Source organism: Homo sapiens, chromosome 11 (assembly GCF_000001405.40).
Source record: "Homo sapiens chromosome 11, GRCh38.p14 Primary Assembly".
NCBI lineage: Eukaryota > Metazoa > Chordata > Mammalia > Primates > Hominidae > Homo > Homo sapiens.
In genome coordinates, this window is record NC_000011.10 from 9,460,791 (window position 1) to 9,482,367 (window position 21,577).

A 21,577-nucleotide genomic window follows, 5' to 3' on the forward strand; every position below is an offset into this window, starting at 1 on the left:
TTTGATTCTGCACTTTGCGCGAGCCACTCAGGGGCGGGCTGTAAAGTCAGGCTTGGCTGACGTCAGTTGAGTGGGCGCGGCTAGGGCGGTTTTCTTTCGCGTCGACCAAACGTGGGCCAATGGAAAACCGGAAGCGTCCTGTGAGTGATGTAATGACAGCCCAATGGAAGCTGGGGGCGGGCCTCAGACACACTATGCGGGTTGCGGGGCCTGGGGGCCGGACGGCTGTTTCCTGTCCTGGTGCATGGTGGTCGGACGAAGGAATTGTTGGAAAATTTTCTCGGAGGTTCGTATATAAATGTGTTTTTACCCAGTGTGCATTATTCTCCGCCTGGCCGCCGCCCTCAGCGCGGCGGCGCGGGCCCGCTTGGGCCCGGGCTCCGGCTCCCGCTGCTCAGCCTCCGCCGCAGGCCTTGCCGATTTTATGGGCCGGCCGCGGTAGCGGCGTCTGGGCAGAAGCGGAGTTTATTAATAACCCGCGGCCGCCACTCTAGGCGGCGGAGCTTTTTTCGTTGAGGACTCAACTCCCCCCAGCTTGTCTCTGAGCGATGCGCCCCGCCTGTTTCCCTCAGGGGACCGCCAAGGGGAGGGAGTGAAAGAGGGGAGGGTGGAGCCCTCGGGAGCCTTGGCCGCGTTTCTCGGCCTGACCTCCGCGCAGAGCGAGTCCCCAGGCGCCGCCGAGGCAGAGTTCCGCCGCCTGGGACGCCGGGCCCACGGGCCACACCAGGCCGCAGCGGGGGCGCCGGGGACAGGGCTGGCCCAGGCCCTCCCAGGACCTGCCGGTCTCACCTAGCGCTTGCTTCCCATGCGTATCGTGGGCAGATTGTTTCCCCCTCACCCTTTCTTCTATTAAAAAAAAAAAAAGGTTACTGAGGTCTAACATCGGATATTAGAAATTTACAATTTTATCCTCCCTTTTCTCCAGTTTTGGCCAAAAGAGTGAACAAATTCTTATAAGTCTCTTTGAAACGTATTATTGTGGAACGCGAACTAGTTTTTATTCCTTCCCCTTTTGCTTTGGACATTTGTTTTTTCCACATAATAACGAAGTTAAAAAGAGGAAAGAAGAATACCATTGCCAGCCCATTATTTGTTTAAAATCAGCGTCAGCCTTTGCTTTGGAAGTGTCTAAATCAGCTGATATAATCAAGTGAGAATGTGGGGAGAAATTGTAGGTTCGAGATTGTGGTCGGCTTTGTCCTGAATCTTACCAGAAGATACTTGTGTTTTCCTGTAGTTGACAAAAAACGGTGCAGTATTTAATGTTTTTTCTTGCTGAGTATGTAGATCAAGTTTACGTTTAGTAAGAAAATAACGTGATAAGGAGATCACTCAAAAACACCCATAAGATGCATAGCTAATTTTGTCCTGGCGTATTTTGACTGTTTGGAAATTTTTTTTTTTTAATTGTCAGTGTCCACTATTTGGAAATTCTATGAGCAGTCAGCTGTCTACAGATACTTGAGTGCCTTTTTTTTTTTTGCTTTACAGATGCCCGCCTTTATTTTTTAAAATAGCTTTAGTGATGTAATTCACATACCTTACAGTTCACCCATTTAAAATGTGTAATTAGGCCTGGGCAGCATAGGGAGACGGCCCTCCCATGTTTCTACAAAAAAAATTTTTTTTAAGTGAAATCAGCGTGTGCCTGTAGTCCCAGGTACTTGGAGGCAGAGGTGAGAGGATCACTTGAGCCCAGGAGTTCCAGGCTGCAGTGAGCCGTGATTGTGCCACTGTACTCCCGTCTGGGTGACAGAGACCGGTCTCGAAAAAAAAAAAAGTGATAATTAGTTGAATTTTAGCCTGGGTGTGGTGGCTCACACCTGTAATCTCAGCACTTTGGGAGGCCGAGGCCAGCGGATCACCTGAGGTCAGGAGTTCGAGACCAGTCTGGTCAACGTGGTGAAACCCCCGTCTCTGCGAAAAATACAAAAATTAGCCGGGTGTGGTGGCAGGCGCCTGTAATCCCAGTTACTCTGGAAGCTGAGGCAGGAGAATCGCTTGAACCCAGGAGGCGGAGGTTGCAGTGAGCCGAGATTGCACCATTGCACTCCAGTCTGGGCAACAAGAGCGAAACTCCGTCTCAAAAAAAAAGTTGAATTTTAATATATTCAGAGTTGCGCAGCCATCACTACAATCAATTTAGCAACATATCACCCCCAAAAGAAACTATACCCGTTAGCAATTACTCCCCATTTCCTCTCAGTTGTCCCCTCCACCCCACTACTAGTTTGCATGTTTGCTATTCTAGATATTTCACATAAATGGAATCACAAAGTATGTAGCCTTGTCCAGGGTCATTTATGTTATAACATGTGTCAATACTTTATTTTTATTGCCAAATGATATTTCATTGTATGAACATAGTACATTTTACTTATCCATTCATCTGTTGATGGACATTTGGGTTGTTTCCACCCTTTGGCTATTACACATAATGCTATGAACATTTGTACGAAAGTTTTTGTGTGGACATAGGTTTTCATTTCTCTTGGGAGTAGAATACCTAGGAATAGAATTGCTGAGTCATATAGTAACTATGTTCAACCTTTTGAGGTACTCTAAAACTTTTTCAGTGTGGCTGCACCACGTTTACATTCCTACCAGCAATGTGTAAAGGTTCCAGTTTCTCCATATCCTTACCAACACTTGTTATCATCAGTCTTTTTGATTATAGTTTTTCTAGTGTGGATGAAATGGTGTCTCTTGTAGGTTTGGTTTGCCTGTCTCTGATGGTTAATAATGTTGAGCATTTTTTCTGTGCCTAACGATCATTTATAATCATTGGAGAAATGTCTGTTTGAATTCTTTACCCATTTTAAAGTTGGATTATTCGTCTTATTATGATTTGGTTGTGAGAGTACTTTATATGTTCTAGATAGAAGTCCCTTATCAGATACATGGTTTGCAAAATGTCCATAGTCCTTTGCTGTGTGTTGGAATGTTGCTGTGAAGTAAGGACTGGTTGTGTTCTTCACAGAAACGTGGCATGGCTGCATTGAACTGTGCCTCTACTACATGGTTTTATTTTTAAAATAAAAAACCACTCCACCCTCATAGCATAGTTCCATTTCTGGAAGGTAAGCACTGAATTTTTAAATGTTCATACAAGCATATACAGATAACTATATACATTTTTAAATAAATGAATGCAATCATATGGTATCTACTTTTCTGCAACTTGCTTTTTCCCACTTACCATATATCTTGGACATGTTTCTCACTGTTTCAGATAGATAGATCTCATTCTTTTAAATGCCTACATGTTTCATTTAGGGATGTCGTGTGTGTGTGTTTGTGTGTGTGTGTGTGTGTGTGTGTGTGTATTTGTGTATAGATATTAAAAATCCATTTTTTTTAAGAGACAGGGTCTCACTCTCACCCAGACTGGAGTGCAGTGGCATGATCTCAGCTCACTGCAGCCTCAACCTCCCTGGCACAAGTGATCCTCCCACCTCAGACTCCAGAGTAGCTAGGACTACAGGTGCACGCCACAATGCCCAGCTAATTTTTAGAAAAACGTTTGTAGGCCAGGCGTGGTGGCTCACGCCTATAATCCCAGTACTTTGGGAGGCTGAGGCAGGTGGATCTCCTGAGGTCAGGAATTTGAGACCAGCCTGGCCAACATGGTGAAACCCTGTCTCTACTAAAAATACAAAAATTAGCCAGGTGGGGTGGCCCATGCCTTTAATCCCAGCTACTCGGGAGGCTGAGGCAGGAGAATCTCTTGAACCTGGGAGGTGGAGGTTGCAGTGAGCTGAGATTGCACCACTGCACTCCAGCCTGGGGGACAGAACAAGACCCTGTCTCAATCAATCAATCAATCAATCAATGGTGTGTGTTAATTACATAATAAGAATAATGCTCACGCCTGTAATCCCAGCACTTTGGGAGGCCGAGGTGGGTGGATCACGAGGTCAGGAGTTCAAGATGAGCCCGACCAACATGGTGAAATCCCGTCTCTACTAAAAAAATACAAAAAATTAGCTGGGCATGGTGGCGGGCACCTGTAATCCCAGCTACTCAGGAGGCTGAGGCAGGGGAATTGCTTGAACCCAGGAGGCAGAGGTTGCAGTGAGACGAGATCGCGTCACTGTATTCCAGCCTGGGCGACAGAGGGAGACTCTGTCTCAAAAAAAAAATAATAATAATGCTAAATGGCCTATAAGGGTAATTAATTTGTTAAATGTGAATTAAAAGTGATCATTGTGAAGAATTTTTGACAACTTAGGAAAATTTATAGGAATAAAAAAAGCTGAATACAAAATGTTATGTATATGATAATTACAATGCTGTAAAAATTTTGTATGTATGTGGATAGCAAGGGCTAGAGAATAAAACCAGGAAAACTGAAAATGTTTGATTTGTTAAGCTATTGGGACTTACTATTTTTTTTATTTATTTTATTTGTTTTGAGACGGAGTCTTACTCTGTCACCCAGGCTGGAGTGCAGTGGTGCGATCTCAGCTCACTGCAACCTCCGCCTCCCGGGTTCAAGTGATTCCCCTGCCTCAGCCTCCCAAGTAGCTGGGATTACAGAAGCACGCCACCATGCCCAGCTAATTTTTTTATTTTTAGTAGAGACGGGGTTTCACCATGTTGGCCAGGCTGGTCTTGAACTCCTGACCTTGTGATCCGCCTGCCTTGGCTCCCAGAGTGCTGGGATTACAGGTGCAAGCCACCGTGCCTGGCTGGTACTTTTATTTATTTATTTATTTATTTTTTCTGAAATGGAGTCTCACTCTGTCGCCCAGGCTGGAGTGCAGTGGCGTGATCTCGGCTCTCTGCAAGCTCTGCCTCCCAGGTTCACACCATTCTCCTGCCTCAGCCTCCCTAGTAGCTGGGACTATAGGCGCCCGCCACCACGCCTGGCTAATTTTTTTTTTTTTTTTTGTATTTTTGGTAGAGACGGGGTTTCACCTGACCTCATAATCTGCCCGTCTTGGCCTCCCAAAGGACTTATTATTATAAGTTTTAAATTTATATTACAATATTGTATGCAAGGAAAAGTTTTTTGTTTTTTGTTTGTTTGTTTGTTTTCTTTTTTTGCTTTTGGGAGGATTTCTCTCTGTTTCCCAGGCAGGAGTACAGTGGCACAATCACAGCTCACTGCAGCCTCTACCTCCCAGGCCCAAGTGATCCTCCCTTCTCCTCAGCCTCCCAAGTGGCTTGGTATTACAGGTCCAAGCTACCATGTCTGGCTAATTTTTTTTTTTTTTGAGAGGGAGTTCACCCAGGCTGGAGTGCAGTGGCTAGATCTCGGCTCACTGCAACCTCCAGCTCCCAGGCTCAAGTGATTCTCCTTCCTCAGCATCCTGAGTATCTGGGATTACAGGCACCTGCCACCACATCTGGCTAATTTTTGTATTTTTAGTAGAGACAGGGTTTCACCATGTTGGCCAGGCTGGTCTTGAACTCCTGACCTTAGGTGATCCACCCATCTCAGCCTCCCAGAGTGCTGGGATTACAGACGTGAGCCACCATGCGCAGCCTAATTTTTTTCTTTTCTTTTCTTTTTTTTTGAGATGGAGTCTTGCTCTTGTTGCCCAGGCTGGAGTGCAATGATGTGATCTCGGCTCACTGCAACCTACGTCTCCCGGATTCAAGCGATTCTCCTGCTTCAGCCTCCCTAGTAGCTGGGATTACAGGCGTCTGCCACCACGCCTGGCTAATTTTTGTATTTTTAGTAGTGACTGGGTTTCACCATGTTGGCCAGGGTGGTCTCGAACTCCTGACCTCAGGTGATCCACCCACCTCAGCCTCCCAAAGTGCTGGGATTACAGATGTGAGCCACCACTCCCGGCATAATTTTTTCCTTTTTTTTATTTTCCGTAGAGACAGGGTTTCACTGTGTTGCCCAGGCTGGTCTTGAACTCCTGGCCTCAAGCCGTCTTCCCTCCTTGGCCTCCCCAAGTGCTGCAGTTACAGGTGTGAGCCATCATGCCCAGCCTGCAAGGAAAATTTTAATGGTCTACAAAACACAATAAAATAGCTGACTGTTTTTAGACTGAAACGATGAGAATATGGTGCAGAGAGCAGTAAAGATATTATTGTAATACTTTTAAATATTACAATAGAGTAATACTCTGGTTTTTTTTTGTGTGTGTGTGTGTGTTTTTTTGACACAGAGTCTCTCTGTGTCACCCAGGCTGGAGTGCAGTGGCGCGATCTCGGCTCACTGCAAGCTCTGCCTCCCGGGTTCACGCCATTCTCCTGCCTCAGCCTCCGGAGTAGCTGGGACTACAGGTGCATGCCACCGCCTGGTTAATTTTTTGTATTTTTTAGTAGAGACGGGGTTTCACCGTGTTAGCCAGGATGCTCTCAATCTCCTGACCTCGTGATCCACCCGCCTTGGCCTCCCAAAGTGCTGGGATTACAGGAGTGAGCCACTGCGCCCTGGCCAACTATGTGTAATACTCTTAAGTGAGGGGATGAAAAAGGAAAGTGTTTTTTTTTTTTTTTTGAGATAGAGTTTTACTCTGTAGCTCAGGCTGGAGTGCAGTGGCACCATCTTGGCTCACTGCTGCCTCCACCCTCCGGGTTCAAGTGATTCTCCTGCCTCAGCTGGGAGTAGCTGGGATTATAGGCACCCGCCACCATACCCGGCTGATTTTCTTATATTTTTAGTAGAGACAGGGTTTTGTCATGTTGTCCGGGCTGTTCTCAAACTCCTGACTTCAGGTGATCCACCCGCCTCAGCCTTTCAAAGTGCTGGGATTATAGGTGTGAGCCACCATGCCCAACAAGAAAAATTTTAAAGGGTGAAAATCATGGCTGGCTGGCGCAATGGCTCGTGCCTTTAATCCCAGCACTTTGGGAAGCTGAGGCGGGTGGATCATGAGGTCAGGAGTTCAAGACCCGCCTGGCCAGCATGGTGAAAACCCTTCTCTACTAAAAATACAAAAAATTACCTGGGCATGGTGGTGTGCGCCTGTAATCCCAGTTACTCAGGAGGCTGAGACAGAACTGCTTGAACTTGGGAGGTGGAAGTTACAGTGAGCTGAGATGGCGCCACTGCACTCTGGCCTGGGCGACAAGAGTGAGACTCCATCTCCAAAAAAAAAAAAAAAAAAAAAGTTGTCTGTCAGGAATTCCTTCTATAATTTTCACAATTATCTAATGATGCTTTGCTTTCCTTACCTATGTCACGATGAGCAATTTGGGTGATAAAATAGTAGCATATACAGTGTTCCTCTTGGGGGTAATAACGTACAGTCTGGCATTGTAATTTTGAAATAACATGCTTTTTAACAGAGCAGCATCAGAAATGGTGTTTGGAATATGTCAGAATCTCTTTCTTTTCTCTGCTGCATCTGTTCCTCATATTCCCTAGTTTTGCTGAAAGCAATCCAGGGCATGCTTACCAAACTGCTCTGTGCATGGAGTGCCCTTATTAAACCATGTCCATTAGTGCTACTTTATTGAAGTTTAAGAGAGGTGTTTTTTGTTCTTTTTCACATCAATAGTTCAGTTGAGATCAAACCATCACCAAAATGGGGATACCTAATGACTAGACCTAGATGTTCATTTCTAAATTCTTGTCTCTGCTCTCAGCTCTTTCCTGACAGGTATTTTTAGCTTTAAGCCTAGTAGGTCCTATCTCTGTTGTCACTTCAAAGGTATCAGGCTCTACCTACCTGCCAGTCAGTTTCATATATTCAGTTTTTGAATAGTCCTGGAACTGCACAAAGCCTTCAAGTTTCAACATTTCACCTATCCAATAGGATATTCTGCCCCAATTAGAATTGGCAGTATGAACTCTTTGCCCATACTTTAACCCTTAGCATCATATGGAGTCTGCGAGAACTCTATCTCATTTGCTAGCACGTTCTAATTACTTTTTACTTCACTGAATTATATTTAATTAATGGAACATGCTTACACTCTGGCTATATTTAAATATAACTCAAGGCTGGGTGTGGCTTATGCCTATAATCCCAGCTACTCAGGAGGCTGAGGCAGGAGGATCACATGAGCCCAAGAATTTGAGGTTGCAGGGTCCTGCCACTGCAGTCCAGCCTGGGTGACAGAGTGAGACTCGACTTTCATATATCATATATTTTCTGGGCACGGTGGCTCACACCTGTAATCCCAGTACTTTGGGAGGCTGAGGCATGCAGATCACTTGAGGTCAGAAGTTCGAGACCAGCCTGGCCAACATGGTGAAACCCCACCTCTACTAAAAATACAAAAATGAGCCAGGTGTGGTGGCACGTACCTGTAATCCCAGTTACTCGGGAGGCTGAGGCATGAGAATCACTTGAACCTGGGAGGTGGAGGTTGCAGTGATCTGAGATCACGCCATTGCACTCTAGCCTCGGCTACAGTGAGATGCCATCTCAAAAAAAAAAAAGTAGAGTAATGCAGTATTTGTCTTTTTGTAACTGAAAATTAGCCTATGCTAATTTTATTCTCAGCAGGGGTCTTTTTTTTTTTTTTTTTTTTTTTACCACCCCCCCATACGGAGTTTCGCTCTTGTTGCCCAGCTTGGAGTGCAATGTTGTGATCTCGGCTCACTGCAACCTCCACCTCCCGGGTTCAGGCAGTTTTCCTGCCTCAGCCTCCCAAGTAGCTGGGATTACAGGCGTGCACCACCACTCCCAGCTAATTTTTGTATTTTTAGTAGTGACGGGGTTTCACCTTGTTGGTCAGGCTGATATGGAACTCCTGACCTCAGGTGATCCACCCACCCTGGCCTCCCAAAGTGCTGGGATTACAGGCATGAGCCACCGCGTGCAGCCCACAGGTCTTAACAGTAGGGTACTGGTGTTACTTTGAGTCTTCTCTGCCAGCTTTTGGAGGTGCCAAGGAAATGACGTTTCAGCTTGTTCTATGAACAGTTATAGATTATGGATCCTTTTGTACCTAAAAGGTCACCCCTTGACTTTTTCTTTAAATGTGCGTGCCACCACATCCAGCTAATTTGTTAATATTTTTAGTAGAGACAGGGTTTCACCATGTTGACCAGGCTGGTCTCGAACTCCTGACCTCAGGTGATCCACCTGCTTTGGCCTTTCAGAGTGCTGTGAATCCAGGTGTGAGCCACTGCACCCAGCCTTGACTGACAGTTATCATGGCACTGATACCTTTTTGTGTATCTGAACAGTAGTTCCCACTTTTGGTCTAATGAAGGTACAGTTTATAGTATTTCCAAGACAAAATTCTTCAAGCAATCCTAAACGTAAAAAGAATTACAAATTATTACTACTATCTGTGTATTGCTCTTTTAAATATTGATGCTAAGTCAGATCTTTGGACCTGGAAAGGTCCTCAAGACATCTTCTGGTTCAGTTCCCTGTCCCAAGGCAGCTACATTATCCCAGCTACTGTTTGAGATAAGCCATGGTCCACAGAGGTAAGGAGACCTGGAGGTAGAAGGGAAGAAGGAGGTTGTGTTGGTGATTGGTAGAAGAGTTGCCCATTCATCCATTTATTCTGTACCTATTGTACTTCTACTATGGGCCAAGCACTTTCTAGGCACTAGAGTCAGCAGTGAGCAAACAAACAGAAGTCTCTGTCCATTCTCATGGAAGGGGAAATAGATAAACTAAATACATAAATACATGTAATTTGTTAAATAATAAGTACTGTGCAGAAACATGGAGGGGAAAAGAAGGATGGGGTTTACCATGATTGAGCAGTTGGGAGGTGCAGTTTGAAATGGGATGGACAGGGAAGCTCTCATTCCATTTGAGCAAAGACTTGAAGAGGGTAGGGAATGAATAATGAAGATACTGGGGACAATGTTTCAGGCAGAAGGAAACTCAAATGAACACGTTCTAAGGCAGCAGAACATCCAATATGCTTGAGGAAAATGCCAATGTGGCTGAAGTGGAGTGAATGAGATGGTGAGTAGTAGGAAATGAGGGGCAAGATCATTGGCCTCATTGATCAGTGTAAGGATTTGGGGATTTTACTCTGAGAAAGTCCTCAGAAGGTTTTGAGCAGAAGCGGGACATGAGCTAACTTTTCCCTTCAAAGGACACTGACCGCTGTGTCAAAAGAAGAGTGTAGGAGGCTAATGGAGAAGCAGGGAAATAAGTTAGGATGCTGTTATAGTAATGCAGGTGAGAGACTGGTTGTGGCTTAGATCAGGGAAGTACTGGTGAAGGTTGTGAGAGGTAGCCAGATTCGGGGTAGATTTCTGAAGATTAAGTCAACAAAATATGCTGACACATTGTAAGTGGGAATCCTCAGCAATGCTAAACCCAAAGGACTCTAATTATGGGAATTCTAGAGATCATATGAAACTGATGGGCACAATTCGTCAGTGTACTTCTAAGTTGCTAAGCGCACTGACAAATTGTGCCCATCAGTTTGAATTGTTGAATTATAAGAAGCATGCCTTGGACTTTGGGCTAATACTCTTACCCTACATATTGAGTGAAATTTCATCTTATTTCCAACACCATTACATCCTCAGCAGCTTTTTGTGGTTCATAAATATTCTTTGTAACTTTCATTTCACATGTATCATTCTTTGTTCCCAAGTGTCTTTATTTTTCTTCAAGGTAGAAGATGTTGTTAGCCCAAATAAATCGAGATTCTCAGGGAATGACAGAGTTTCCTGGAGGAGGGATGGAGGCGCAACATGTTACGCTGTGCTTGACAGAGGCAGTCACCGTGGCAGGTGAGCAGTTGTGTTTGAAGGGATGCGTTTGAAAATATCATTTATCTTAAAAGAAAAAAAATTTACAACTTCCTAGTTCCTGATTTAGCAGAAAACAATATAAACCTAGGTCTTTTTATGAGGTGTTTTGGTGTTTTTTTTTTTGAAACGGGACGGAGTTTTACTCTTGTCGCCCAGGCTGGAGTGCGATGGTCTGCTCTCGGCTCACTGCAACCTCTGCCTCCCAAGTCCAAGTGATTCTCCTGCCTCAGCCTCCCGAGTAGCTGGGATTACAGGCATGTGCCACCACGTCCGGCTAATTTTGTATTTTTAGTAGAGACGGGGTTTCACCACGTTGGCCAGGCTGGTCTCAAACTCCTGACCTCAGGTAATCAACCTGCTTCGGCCTCCCAAAGTGCTGGGATTACAGGCATGAGCCATTGCGCCCAGCCTCTATGTGTATTTTTTATCTTGGTGTGGGTACAGGAGGGCAGGGAATTTTTTTTTTCTTTTTCTTTTTCTTTTCTTTTCTTTTGTTTTTTTTTTTTGAGACAAGGTCTTGCTTTATCGCCCAGGCTGGAGTGCAGTGGTATGATCACGGCTCACTGTAGCCTCAGCCTTCTGGCTTAAGACATCCTGTCACCTCAGCCTCCCAAGTAGCTGAGACTACAGGCACCCACCAGCGTGCCCAGCTAATTATTTTATTTTTAGTAGAGACAGGGTTTCACCATGTTGCCCAGGCTGGTCTCAAACTCCTGGGCTCAAGCCATCCACCCACCTCAGCCTCCAAAAGTGCTGGGATTACAGGCATGAGCCATTGTTCCCAGCCTGTTTTTGGTAAGTGCTAAATCTCACTTTTTTTCTTTTTTTTGAGACGGAGTCTGGCTCTGTCGCCCAGGCTGGAGGGCAGTGGCACAATCTCGGCTCACTGCAACCTCTGCCTCCTGGGTTCAAGCGATTCTTCTGCCTCAGCCTCCCAAGTAGCTGGGACTACAAGGTGCATGCCACCGCGCCCGACTAATTTTTATATTTTTAGTAGAGACGGGGTTTCACCTCATTGGCCAGGCTGGTGTCGAACTTCTGACCTCATGATCCACTTGCCTTGGCCTCCCAAAGTGCCGTGATTACAGGCGTGAGCCACTGCACCCGGCCGCTAAATCTCATTTTGAGTCTGAGTTAAGCAGTTTACCTTTTTTCTGATCTTTATTTGAAAAAAAAATTAATCAGCATGTCCATATGCTAGCTGTCTAAAGAAAATATTGATTTTTTTGTAATAGATGGTGACAACTTAGAAAATATGGAAGGCGTAAGCTTGCAAGCAGTAACACTTGCAGATGGTTCTACTGCTTACATACAACACAATTCTAAAGGTATGTGCCTCACATATGGCTGATTGGTTAATACCAGTGATTTATAACCTGTGAGTTGGAGCACCTAGAAGCTATACCACCTTTCCTATGTCTCCTAAAGATGCTGTATTGCATATGATGATTTTAAGTCATTTCAGTTTAATTCTTTTTTTTTTTTTTTTTATAATTTGGAATAGTCCTTTGAGATATTTGGAAGATACCCTGGGATATCAAAATTAGTGGGAGAGAGGAGAGCAGGGAGTATGTCTTACTATTTTCTAGTAAGACCTTTCTTGCTTCTTTACCTTGGGTCATTATTTCGTATTTTTACCAAATACCTGTAAGAGTAAAGACATTTGGGGCCGGGCATGGTGGTTCACGCCTGTAATCCCAACGCTTTGGAAGGCCGAGGCGGGCAGATCACCTGAGGTCGGGAGTTCGAGACCAGCCTGACCAACATGGAGAAACCGTTTTCTGTAATAAAAATACAAAATTAGCTGGGCATGGTGGCGCATGCCTGTAATCCCAGCTACTCAGGAGGCTGAGGCAGGAGAGTCGCTTGAACCCGGGAGGCAGAGGTTGCAGTGAGCCGAGATCACGCCATTGCACTCCGGCCTGGGCAACTAGAGCAAAACTCTGTCTCAAAAAAAAAAAAAAAAGACATTTGGTTTTGCTTATCTGACATTGTCTCTGAATTAGTGTTTGCTTTGCTCCAGGAAACAGCCAAGTCCTCAAAAACTCTTTGTTTCTATGGAAACCTACTGAGCACATGCATACATAAACAGGGGTCTTATAGCCCTCAGGGATGAGAATGACAGATGATCTCACATACACTGACATAATCTGTCTGTCTTCCCAGCTTCAACTCCCCACTGGTCATGGTCACTGATTCTAAGTGACTCTGAAAGGTATAAAGCAGTCCAACTCATGTAGCCTGCTGTGATGAGCCACTCTTCCTCTTGACCTCATCTAATTGAAAATTGCAGGGGAGGAAGGATGGCTGAGGGAGGATTTTCTGCTTTCTGTAGGATCACTGGATGTGTTATTGAATTGCCTCAGAACATTGAGGGAAGAATCAAGATGAACACGAGCTTAAGTTGTGTATGTTTTTATAGTTGATATCATTTTGAAATTGTATAAAGTTTAAAATTTTTGTTTGTGCCAATTTATTGTCTTGAATCTTTTGTTATAGATGCAAAACTCATAGATGGCCAGGTCATTCAGTTGGAAGATGGTTCTGCGGCCTATGTTCAACATGTACCCATACCTAAAAGTAGTAAGTATTTAAGATAACAGCACGGGAAACCATTTTAATTCTCAGCTTTTAGTATTTGCTACCTGCAGCTCCCTCTTACTACCTAAACTTGGTCTTGTTCTCAAGTCCTCCTTCTGTAAAGGGAGATTATAGATGCCACAGAGTGGATCTTAACCAAGACTTTCTCGTAAAGATAATGGAAAAGAAGTTACTGGACTGCACTGTGGAGATAAATGAGTAACAGTCCTGAGTGAATGTTTCTGTTTTTTGAGCTGAATCTTACATGTCTCTCATTTTCTTCATTTTTCCCCTTCTTTCAACTCTCTTTAATACTGGTGTATATTTCTAAAACCAATATTCTAATGTCTTTTTACCTTTAAACACTGACGCAGGGAAGCTTTACTGAACTTACTTAAATGTTCAAAGACTCATGAAGCAAGTATAGATTGTTATAATGTGTTAATGGTTTATTGACTCTTGTTGCTAAGTGAGTTAATTGGAATGTGCTAGAAAACATGAGATCTAAATGTAAGCATTGTTCTTGAGCAGGGGACAGTTTGCGTCTAGAGGATGGTCAAGCAGTACAGTTAGAAGATGGTACCACAGCATTTATTCACCACACCTCCAAAGGTAAAATAACTTTGAAAGTATGAATAAAATAAGGGAGAAGTGGGAGTGGTGGGGGAAAGAAGACCTGTGTTTAGCTTCTGAATTGTTGTCATGGGAAAGAATTGTATTTATTCATTAAAGTACAAGGTGGCAGATTTAAGCATGATTTAAGGAAAAATTTTCCTACAATTTGAGCTGTCCAGTGACAAGCTGGAACAGCAAACCAAATGACTGGTCCCTGGAAGACTTAAAGTAGAGGCCACATTTTGTTTTTTTGGTTGGCTTTTGTTCTAAGAGACAGGGTCTCACTCTGTTGCCAGGCTGGATTGTGGTGGCACAAGCACAGCTCACTGCAGCCTCAAACTCCTGGGCTCAGGGATCCTCCTGCCTCAGCCTCCTGAATAGCTGGGACTACAGGTGCATGCTGCCTCTCCCAGCTAGTTTTTTCATTTTTTGTAGAGACAGGGTCTTACTCTGTTGCCAGGCTAATCTCAAACTCCTGGCCTCAAGCCAGCCTCCCAAAGTGCTGGGATTATAGGCGTTAGCTACTGCACCCAGCCTTAATTTCATATTTTAAAAGCAGCCTTGGCTCCTTTTTTAAATGATTCAGAAATAAAATCACAATGTAACATTGAAATGGTTAACTTCATATTTTATTCATTTCTGTATTTTAGAGATAAGATCTTTGTTAGGCTAGAGTGCAGTGGTACAATCATAGCTCACTATAGCCCTGAATTCCTGGGCTCAAGGGGCTTTCCTGCCTCAGCCTCCTGAGCAGCTAGGACTACACGTGTGTGTCACCACAGCCAGCTGATTTTTAAATTTTTATTTTCTGATTAATTTTTTTTGTTAAATATAGGGTCTTGCTATGTTGCTCAGGCTGGTCCTGAACTCCTGGCCTCAAGCAGTCCTCCTGCTCCGACCTCCCAAAGCAGTGGGGTCACAGACATGAACCACTTTGCCTAACCTATTTCTTCCTCTTAAATGCAATTTTTTGCCTGGGCATGTTGGCTCATGCCTGTAATCCTAGCACTTTGGGAGGCCGATGCAGGCGGATCACCTGAGGTCAGGGGTTTGAGACCAGCCTGGCCATGCAAAACCCTGTCTCTACTAAAAATACAAAAAAATACAAAAATTAGCCAGTTGTGGTAGTGCATGCCTTCAATCCTGGCTACTAGGGAGGCTGAGGCAGGAGAATCGCTTGAACCCAGGAGGTAGAGGTTGCAGTGTAGTTGAGATCGTGCCACTGCACTCCAGCCTGGGCAACAGAGTGAGACCCTGTCTCAAAAAAATATATATGTGTGTGTGTGTGTGTGTGTGTGTGTGTGTGTGTGTGTGTGTGTATAAAATTTTTAAAGCAAGGTCCTTTGCCTACTATGTTTAATTGAAACTAAGTATACAATGTCAAAAATATTTGAAGCAAATACAGCAAAATGTTAATGCTTATTACATTTGTTTAAGGGAAGTTCAGGGGTTTGAGGTGGAATGTCTAGGAATGATGAGTACAGCTCTGCAACCAGACTATGTATATTCAAAGCTACTTTTTTTTTGCTGTGTGACATTAAGCAGATTACTTTTCTGTGCTTTAGTTTCATCATCTGTAAAATGAGGATTATAGTAGGTGTCCATATCATACGTAGGGTTGTTGTGAGGACAGAATGCACAAACATGTAAAGCACTTAGAACCGTGCTTGTCTCATACTAAATGCTCAATAAATGTTACCTATTGTTACTACTTTAGAGAATATTTTATTTTAATTAATTAATTAATTTATTATTTTGAGACAGTCTCGCTCTGTTGCCAGGCTGGAGTGCAGGGACACGATCTTGGCTCACTGCAACCTCCGCCTCCTGGTTTCAAGCGATTCTCCTGCCTCAGCCTCCCAAGTAGCTGAGATTACAGGTGCCCGCCACTACACCCGGCTAATTTTTGTGTTTTAGTAAAGATGGGGTTTCACCATGTTGGTCAGGCTGGTCTCAAACTCCTGACCTCAGGTGATCCGCCCACTTCAGCCTCCCAAAGTGCTGGGATTACAGGCATGAGCCACTGCACCCAGCTAGAGAGCATTTTATTATAGAATGACATAACACGTTTTAGAAAGGCTGTTTTGTTGTGAAGCCAAAGGGAGGAATCTTTTTTTTTTTTTTTTTTTTTTTTTTTTTTTGAGACAGACTCTCGCTCTCTCTCCCAGTCTGGAGTGCAGTGGTGCGATCTCGGCTCACTGCAAGCTCCGCCTCCTGGGTTCACACCATTCTCCTGCCTCAGCCTTCGGAGTAGCTGGGACTACAGGCACCCACCACCATGCCCGGCTAATTTTTTGTATTTTTTTTAGTAGAGGCGGGGTTTCACCGTGTTAGCCAGGATGGTCTCGGTCTCCTGACCTTGTGATCTGCCCTCCTCAGCCTCCCAAACAAAGGGAGGAATCTTTAAAAAATTTAAAATACTTAAATTTATAAATAAATTTCTTTAATTACAGTTGGAAAAAAGTAAAGTCTGCACCCCTTCCTTCCTTCCTTCCTTCCTTCCTTCCTTCCTTCCTTCCTTCCTTCCTTCCTTCCTCCTCTCCCTTCCCTCCTTTCCCTCCTTTCCCTCCCTTCCCTTCCTTCCCTTCCTTCCCTTCCTTCCCTTCCTTCCCTTCCTTCCTTTTCTTTCTTTTCTTTTCAGCAGAGTCTTGCTCTGTCACCAGGCTGGAGTGCAGTGGTGCAATCTCGGCTCACTGCAACCTCCACATCCTGGGTTCAAGCGATTCTCCTGCTTCAGCCTCCCAAGTAGCTGGGACTACAGGTGCGCGCCACCATGCCCAGCTATTTTTTTTGTATTTTTAGTAGAGATGGGATTTCACCATGTTGGCTAGGATGGTCTCAATCTCTTGACCTTGTGATCCGCCTGGCTTGGCCTCCCAAAGTGTTGGGATTACAGGCGTGAGCCACCACAAAAGGCCGCACTTTTTTCTTTATCAATAAGAGTTAGTCACAGGTTCATTGTAACTGGCTAGATTTATTATTTCACTATCTCTATATATATATCGATATAAAATCACTATTTTATATCAATACCAGTATAGATATAGATATATCTTAGTGTGGACATTTAGAGGGGAAAAAACCACCATGGAGGGACTGTGGAGTCATACTGACATGAGTTCAAATCCTGATTTCTCTACATATTGATTTTGACTGTTAATTGTTAGTGTTTTTTCTTTGTTTGTTTTTGTTTTTGGTTTGTTTTTTGAGAGGGACTCTGGCTCTGTCGCCCAGGCTGGAGTGCAGTGGCACGATCTTGGCTCACTGCAACCTCTGCCTCCCAGGTTCAAGTGAGTCTCCTGCCTCAGCCTCCCCAGTAGCTGGGAATACAGGCGCGTGCCACCGTGCCCTGCTAAGTTTTTTGTATTTTTAGTAGAGAGGGTGTTTCACCGTGTTAGCCAGGATGGTCTCAATCTCCTGACCTCGTGATCCGCCCGCCTCGGCCTCCCAGAGTCCTGGGATTATAGGCTTGAGCCACTGCACCCGGCCTGTTAATGTTTTTTAAATTTTCTGATTGCTAAGGAAAGTGATGTTACTTCTCCAAACCTGAGTTCCCATTTATACAATGAAGGCAGTAAATGTACCTGCCTTGCAGAATTATTGTGAGGATTAAATGAAATAACACATATCAAGTGCGTGGTCCAGTACTCAGAGTAACTACTCAATAAAAGCTCATTTCTCTCTTCCTTTAAATATGTAAATATTTGTCAGATTTTACCTTTAATTTAATGGCATTCTCTTCCACTCTCTCAGATAGTTATGACCAGAGTGCATTACAGGCGGTTCAGCTGGAAGATGGTACCACAGCTTATATCCACCATGCAGTGCAAGTCCCGCAGTCTGACACCATCTTGGCAATTCAGGCTGATGGGACAGTGGCAGGTCTGCACACTGGGGATGCTACAATTGACCCTGACACCATCAGTGCTTTGGAACAGTATGCAGCAAAGGTATAGCATTTCACAATGTCAAGAATGTTGCAGATATAGCTTCTTTATTTTTCATGAAAAGAAAAGAAAACAAAAAAGTACACCTCATCAAAAAAAACCTGGCCAATTTTGGCTGGGCATGGCGTGATGGCTCACGCCTATAACTTCCCAGCACTTTGGGAGGCCAAAGTGGGAGGATTGTTTGAGCATAGATCCCTGTCTCAAATTCAGAAATTAAAAAAAAAGACACTAGCAACTCAAAGTCAAAATCAGTTAGTATCAAAGAGATCAGCATTTATCTTAAGTGAAGTGTGGAAAGATTGGAAAAAAAAAGGGAATGGAGTAAAGACTTATAGAAGAGAAATGAGTGGCAGGTAATTCACCGAAAGATATACGAGGATGAAGGGCTATAAAAGAAATAATAAAGTGTAAATGGAACTGCTTATGAATTAAGAAGTAGGAACTATAGATTAGGAAAAGTAAAGTCTCAAGTTTTATATCAAAAGAGCTGATTTTTTTTTTCCCCTGCATTGAACATGTATCTCTCATATAACTTAAAAGGTTTTATTTCACTTTTGTTAGGGACATTTTCTTTTTTTTTTTCTTTACAAACAAAATAAATAGAGACAGGGTCTTGCTCTTTTGTCCAGGCTGGTCTTGAACTCCTGGGCTCAGATGATCCTCCTGCCTCAGCCTCCCAAAGTGCTAGGATTACTGGCATGAGCCACCATGCCCAGCCTATTATGGAAATTTTCAAATATACACAAAAATAAATGATAATGAAGCCCCATGTACTTTTTTTTCTTTTTCTTTTTTTTTGCAAGCTTCTCCCTGAACCATGTACTTAACCAGCCTAAACCATTATCAAAATGTAAAACATTTTAAAGCTTTATTTTATTCCTATAGGTGTCCATTGATGGAAGTGAAAGTGTAGCAGGTACTGGAATGATTGGAGAAAATGAGCAAGAGAAAAAAATGCAGGTATGTAAAGCTACTTTTTAATATAAAAATCTAGCTTAGCATTTCTGTGCCCTTCTGTGGATGAAAGCAAGAATAGGTAACTCACTACCTCTCTAGGAAAATCTCACCAGTTCAGAAAAACAATGTATGTATTGGGCAGCAGCTTTCTCAAACTGCCTGAGGTCCCAGTGTTCATTGGTGGATGCAAAATGATGCTAAAGAAATGGAAGTATCACAGAAATCCAGGTGAAGCTTGTGTGCTGGATTCCAAGGCAGTTTTCTGGACAAGGCAGTTGTGGAGACCAGGTGACTTCCTGACTGCCCCCACCCATGGCATGGCAATTTGTGGATACTTTTTCTGGGACTTCATCATGACTCTTTCTAAATAATCCTCACTGCTTTGCTTTTTGTATTTTTAAATTTCTTCTTCTTCCAGCTGATTCCCTCCATATTTTCCTTTTCAACTTCTGAAGGGAGAGTCCAGCCTAGTTAATCTTGGACAAAGCTGTTTATACTTTTTCTACCAGACTGCTTCCTGGTCTGCAGGTGGCCTGTGGGCTGGCTTCCCGTGGTTCAAATGTTCACCCTGGGTCCAGTCATTGGCTGCCCCTTACCTAAGTAACAGCCCAGAGCACCAGTGCTTCTAAAAGTTTTGTAGTAAGTACAAAGTAGTCCCAGGTGCATTCTTGCATATCTCCTACAATCAAAAATTCAAAACTTATGTTATTCAAGAATTGTTTTTGTGTTGGGATGTTCGTGTGGAGGGTATGCTTGGAGCTTGTATAATCATTGTAGTACATTCCTGCTTTAATGCTGCTCTTTATTTTCTCAGCAATTTTCTCTAATATTTTGTTGACTGTTCCTTTATAGTAGTTTTTTTTTCATTCTTCAGAGTTTTATTATATTTAACTCCTAAAGTTACTACTCAGGGTCACATTTATAACCTTGAGCATTAACATGACCACTTAGTGACATTGAGTGATACTGTTAGGGGTTATCAAGAAGATTTTACATTTATATTAATAGTAAGTGATAAAATAACAGGAATCACTGAAATCACTTGTAGAAATATGGTTCTGGCCGGGCGTGGTGGCTCATGCCTGTAATCCCAGCACTTTGGGAGGCTGAGGCGGATGGATGACTTGAGGTCAGGAGTTTGAGACCAACTTGGCCAACATGGTGAAACCCTGCCTCTACTAAAAATACAAAAAATTAGCCAGGTGTGGTGGCTAGTGCCTATAATCCTAGCTACTCAGGAGGCTGAGGCAGGAGAATCGCTTGAACCCAGGAGGCAGAGGTTGCAGTGAGCCAAGATCGCGCTGTTGCACTCCAGCCTGGGCAACAAGAACGAAACTGTCTCAAAAAAAAAAAAAAGAAAAAAGAAAAAGAAATATTATGCTTCTACGCGTTGCTGAATAGCCAATATTTCTGTTTACCAGCTGAAGTGATGCTACAAAGTGGCAATAGAATAAACACAGTTTTCAGTTCACTAAGCCCATCAGCTTTGATGCTGTGTGATTCGTAGCAAAATTTTCAGGTCTCAATTCATATTCATATTTTGTGAATGAAATGAGACTTTAAGGCAGGTGTGGTGGCTCACACCTGTAATCACAATACTTTGAGAGGCTGAGGTGGGAAGATTGCTTGAACCCAGAAGTTTGAGACCAGCCCGGGCAACAAAGTGAGACTCCATCTCTACAAAAAATTACAAAATTAGCAAGGCATGGTGGCACACATTTGTAGTCACAGCTGTTTGGGAGGCGAGGGCAGGAGGATCCCTTGAGCCCGTGGTTTGAAGTTATAGTGAGCTGATTGTGCCACTGCACTCCAGCCTAAGCAACAGAGCAAGACCCTGTTCTCCCCCACCTCCCAAAAAATGAGACTTCAGTATTTTTTATACAGTTCTATGTCAAATCCACCTAAGTCAACCTCTACTAAGATGCAAACACAGGGTAAATATGTGCGGGAGTTATAGGTCAGTGGCTTGGAGTGTTGGAGTGGCCCAATAAGTTCTCTGTCTTATTGGTAACTGACAAGTACATTTTAAAATAATAGAATATTTTAAAGAAAAGCAGTTGTAGGCTGGGTCCAGTGACTCACGCCTGTAATCCTAGCACTTTGGGAGGCCGAGGCAGGTGGATCACCTGAGGTCAGGAGTCTGAGACCAACCTGGCCAACATGGCAAAACCCCATCTCTACTAAAAATACAAGAATTAGTTGGGTGTGGTGGTGTGCGCCTATAATCCCAGCTACTTGGGAAGCTGAGGCAGGAGAATCGCTTGAACCTGGGAGGTGGGGGTTGCAATGAGCCAAGATTGTGCCACTGCACCCCAGCCTGGGCAACAGAGTGAGACTGTCTCAAAAAAAAAAAAAAAAATTTCAGAACTCAAAACGTAACTAGGAATTCAGAACTGCTGAGGCAAAATGTCATTAAAAAAACCCATTACTCTTTTTTTTTTTTTTGAGGTGGAGTCTCACTCTGTCGCCCAGGCTGGAGTGCAGTGGCTCGATCTTGGCTCACTGCAAGCTCTGCCTCCCGGGTTCACGCCATTCTCCTGCCTCAGCCTCCCGAGTAGCTGGGACTACAGGCGCCCGCCACCACGCCCGGCTAATTTTTTGTATTTTTAGTAGAGGCAGGGTTTCACCATGTTAGCCAGGATGGTCTCGATCTCCTGACCTCATGATCTGCCTGCCTTGGCTTCCCAAAGTGCTGGGATTACAGGCGTGAGCTACTGTACCCGGCCCCAACTCTTTTTTTTTTTTAAGACGGTGTCTCGCTCTGTCGCCCAGGCTGGAGTGCAGTGGCTCGATCTCGGCTCACTGTAAGCTCCGTCTCCCGGGT

The 21,577-nt window shown here is 43.9% G+C and overlaps 1 protein-coding gene across 21 annotated transcripts in view, besides 1 other annotated feature; it reads left to right on the top strand.

Moving 5' to 3' along the window:
• Nucleotides 1-221: 221 nt before the first annotated feature.
• ZNF143 (zinc finger protein 143) overlaps nucleotides 222-21,577 on the top strand; it is a 67,513-nt gene continuing 46,157 nt past the window's right edge. Inside the window, exons 1-8 of one of the 21 annotated variants that reach the window (XM_047427552.1) lie at nucleotides 222-1,150; nucleotides 9,753-9,848; nucleotides 10,512-10,630; nucleotides 11,887-11,979; nucleotides 13,151-13,234; nucleotides 13,760-13,843; nucleotides 17,600-17,796; nucleotides 18,682-18,756. In XM_047427552.1, the coding sequence (XP_047283508.1) occupies nucleotides 10,519-10,630; nucleotides 11,887-11,979; nucleotides 13,151-13,234; nucleotides 13,760-13,843; nucleotides 17,600-17,796; nucleotides 18,682-18,756 (645 nt within the window). In that variant the 5' untranslated portion in view covers nucleotides 222-1,150; nucleotides 9,753-9,848; nucleotides 10,512-10,518. Of the gene's footprint in view, nucleotides 1,251-2,488; nucleotides 3,081-8,939; nucleotides 9,133-9,752; nucleotides 9,849-10,511; nucleotides 10,631-11,885; nucleotides 11,980-12,986; nucleotides 13,060-13,150; nucleotides 13,235-13,759; nucleotides 13,844-17,599; nucleotides 17,797-18,681; nucleotides 18,757-21,577 lie in introns of those variants that run through there. The other 20 variants (XM_047427553.1, XM_047427557.1, XM_011520349.3 and 17 more) reach the window with 20 other exon arrangements.
• Nucleotides 606-815: a silencer, noted in NCBI's record as "silent region_3126". NCBI's record gives its function as "represses an Ori minimal core promoter by ATAC-STARR-seq in GM12878 lymphoblastoid cells {active_cell/tissue: GM12878}" and the evidence as "EXISTENCE:reporter gene assay evidence [ECO:0000049][PMID:35858748]".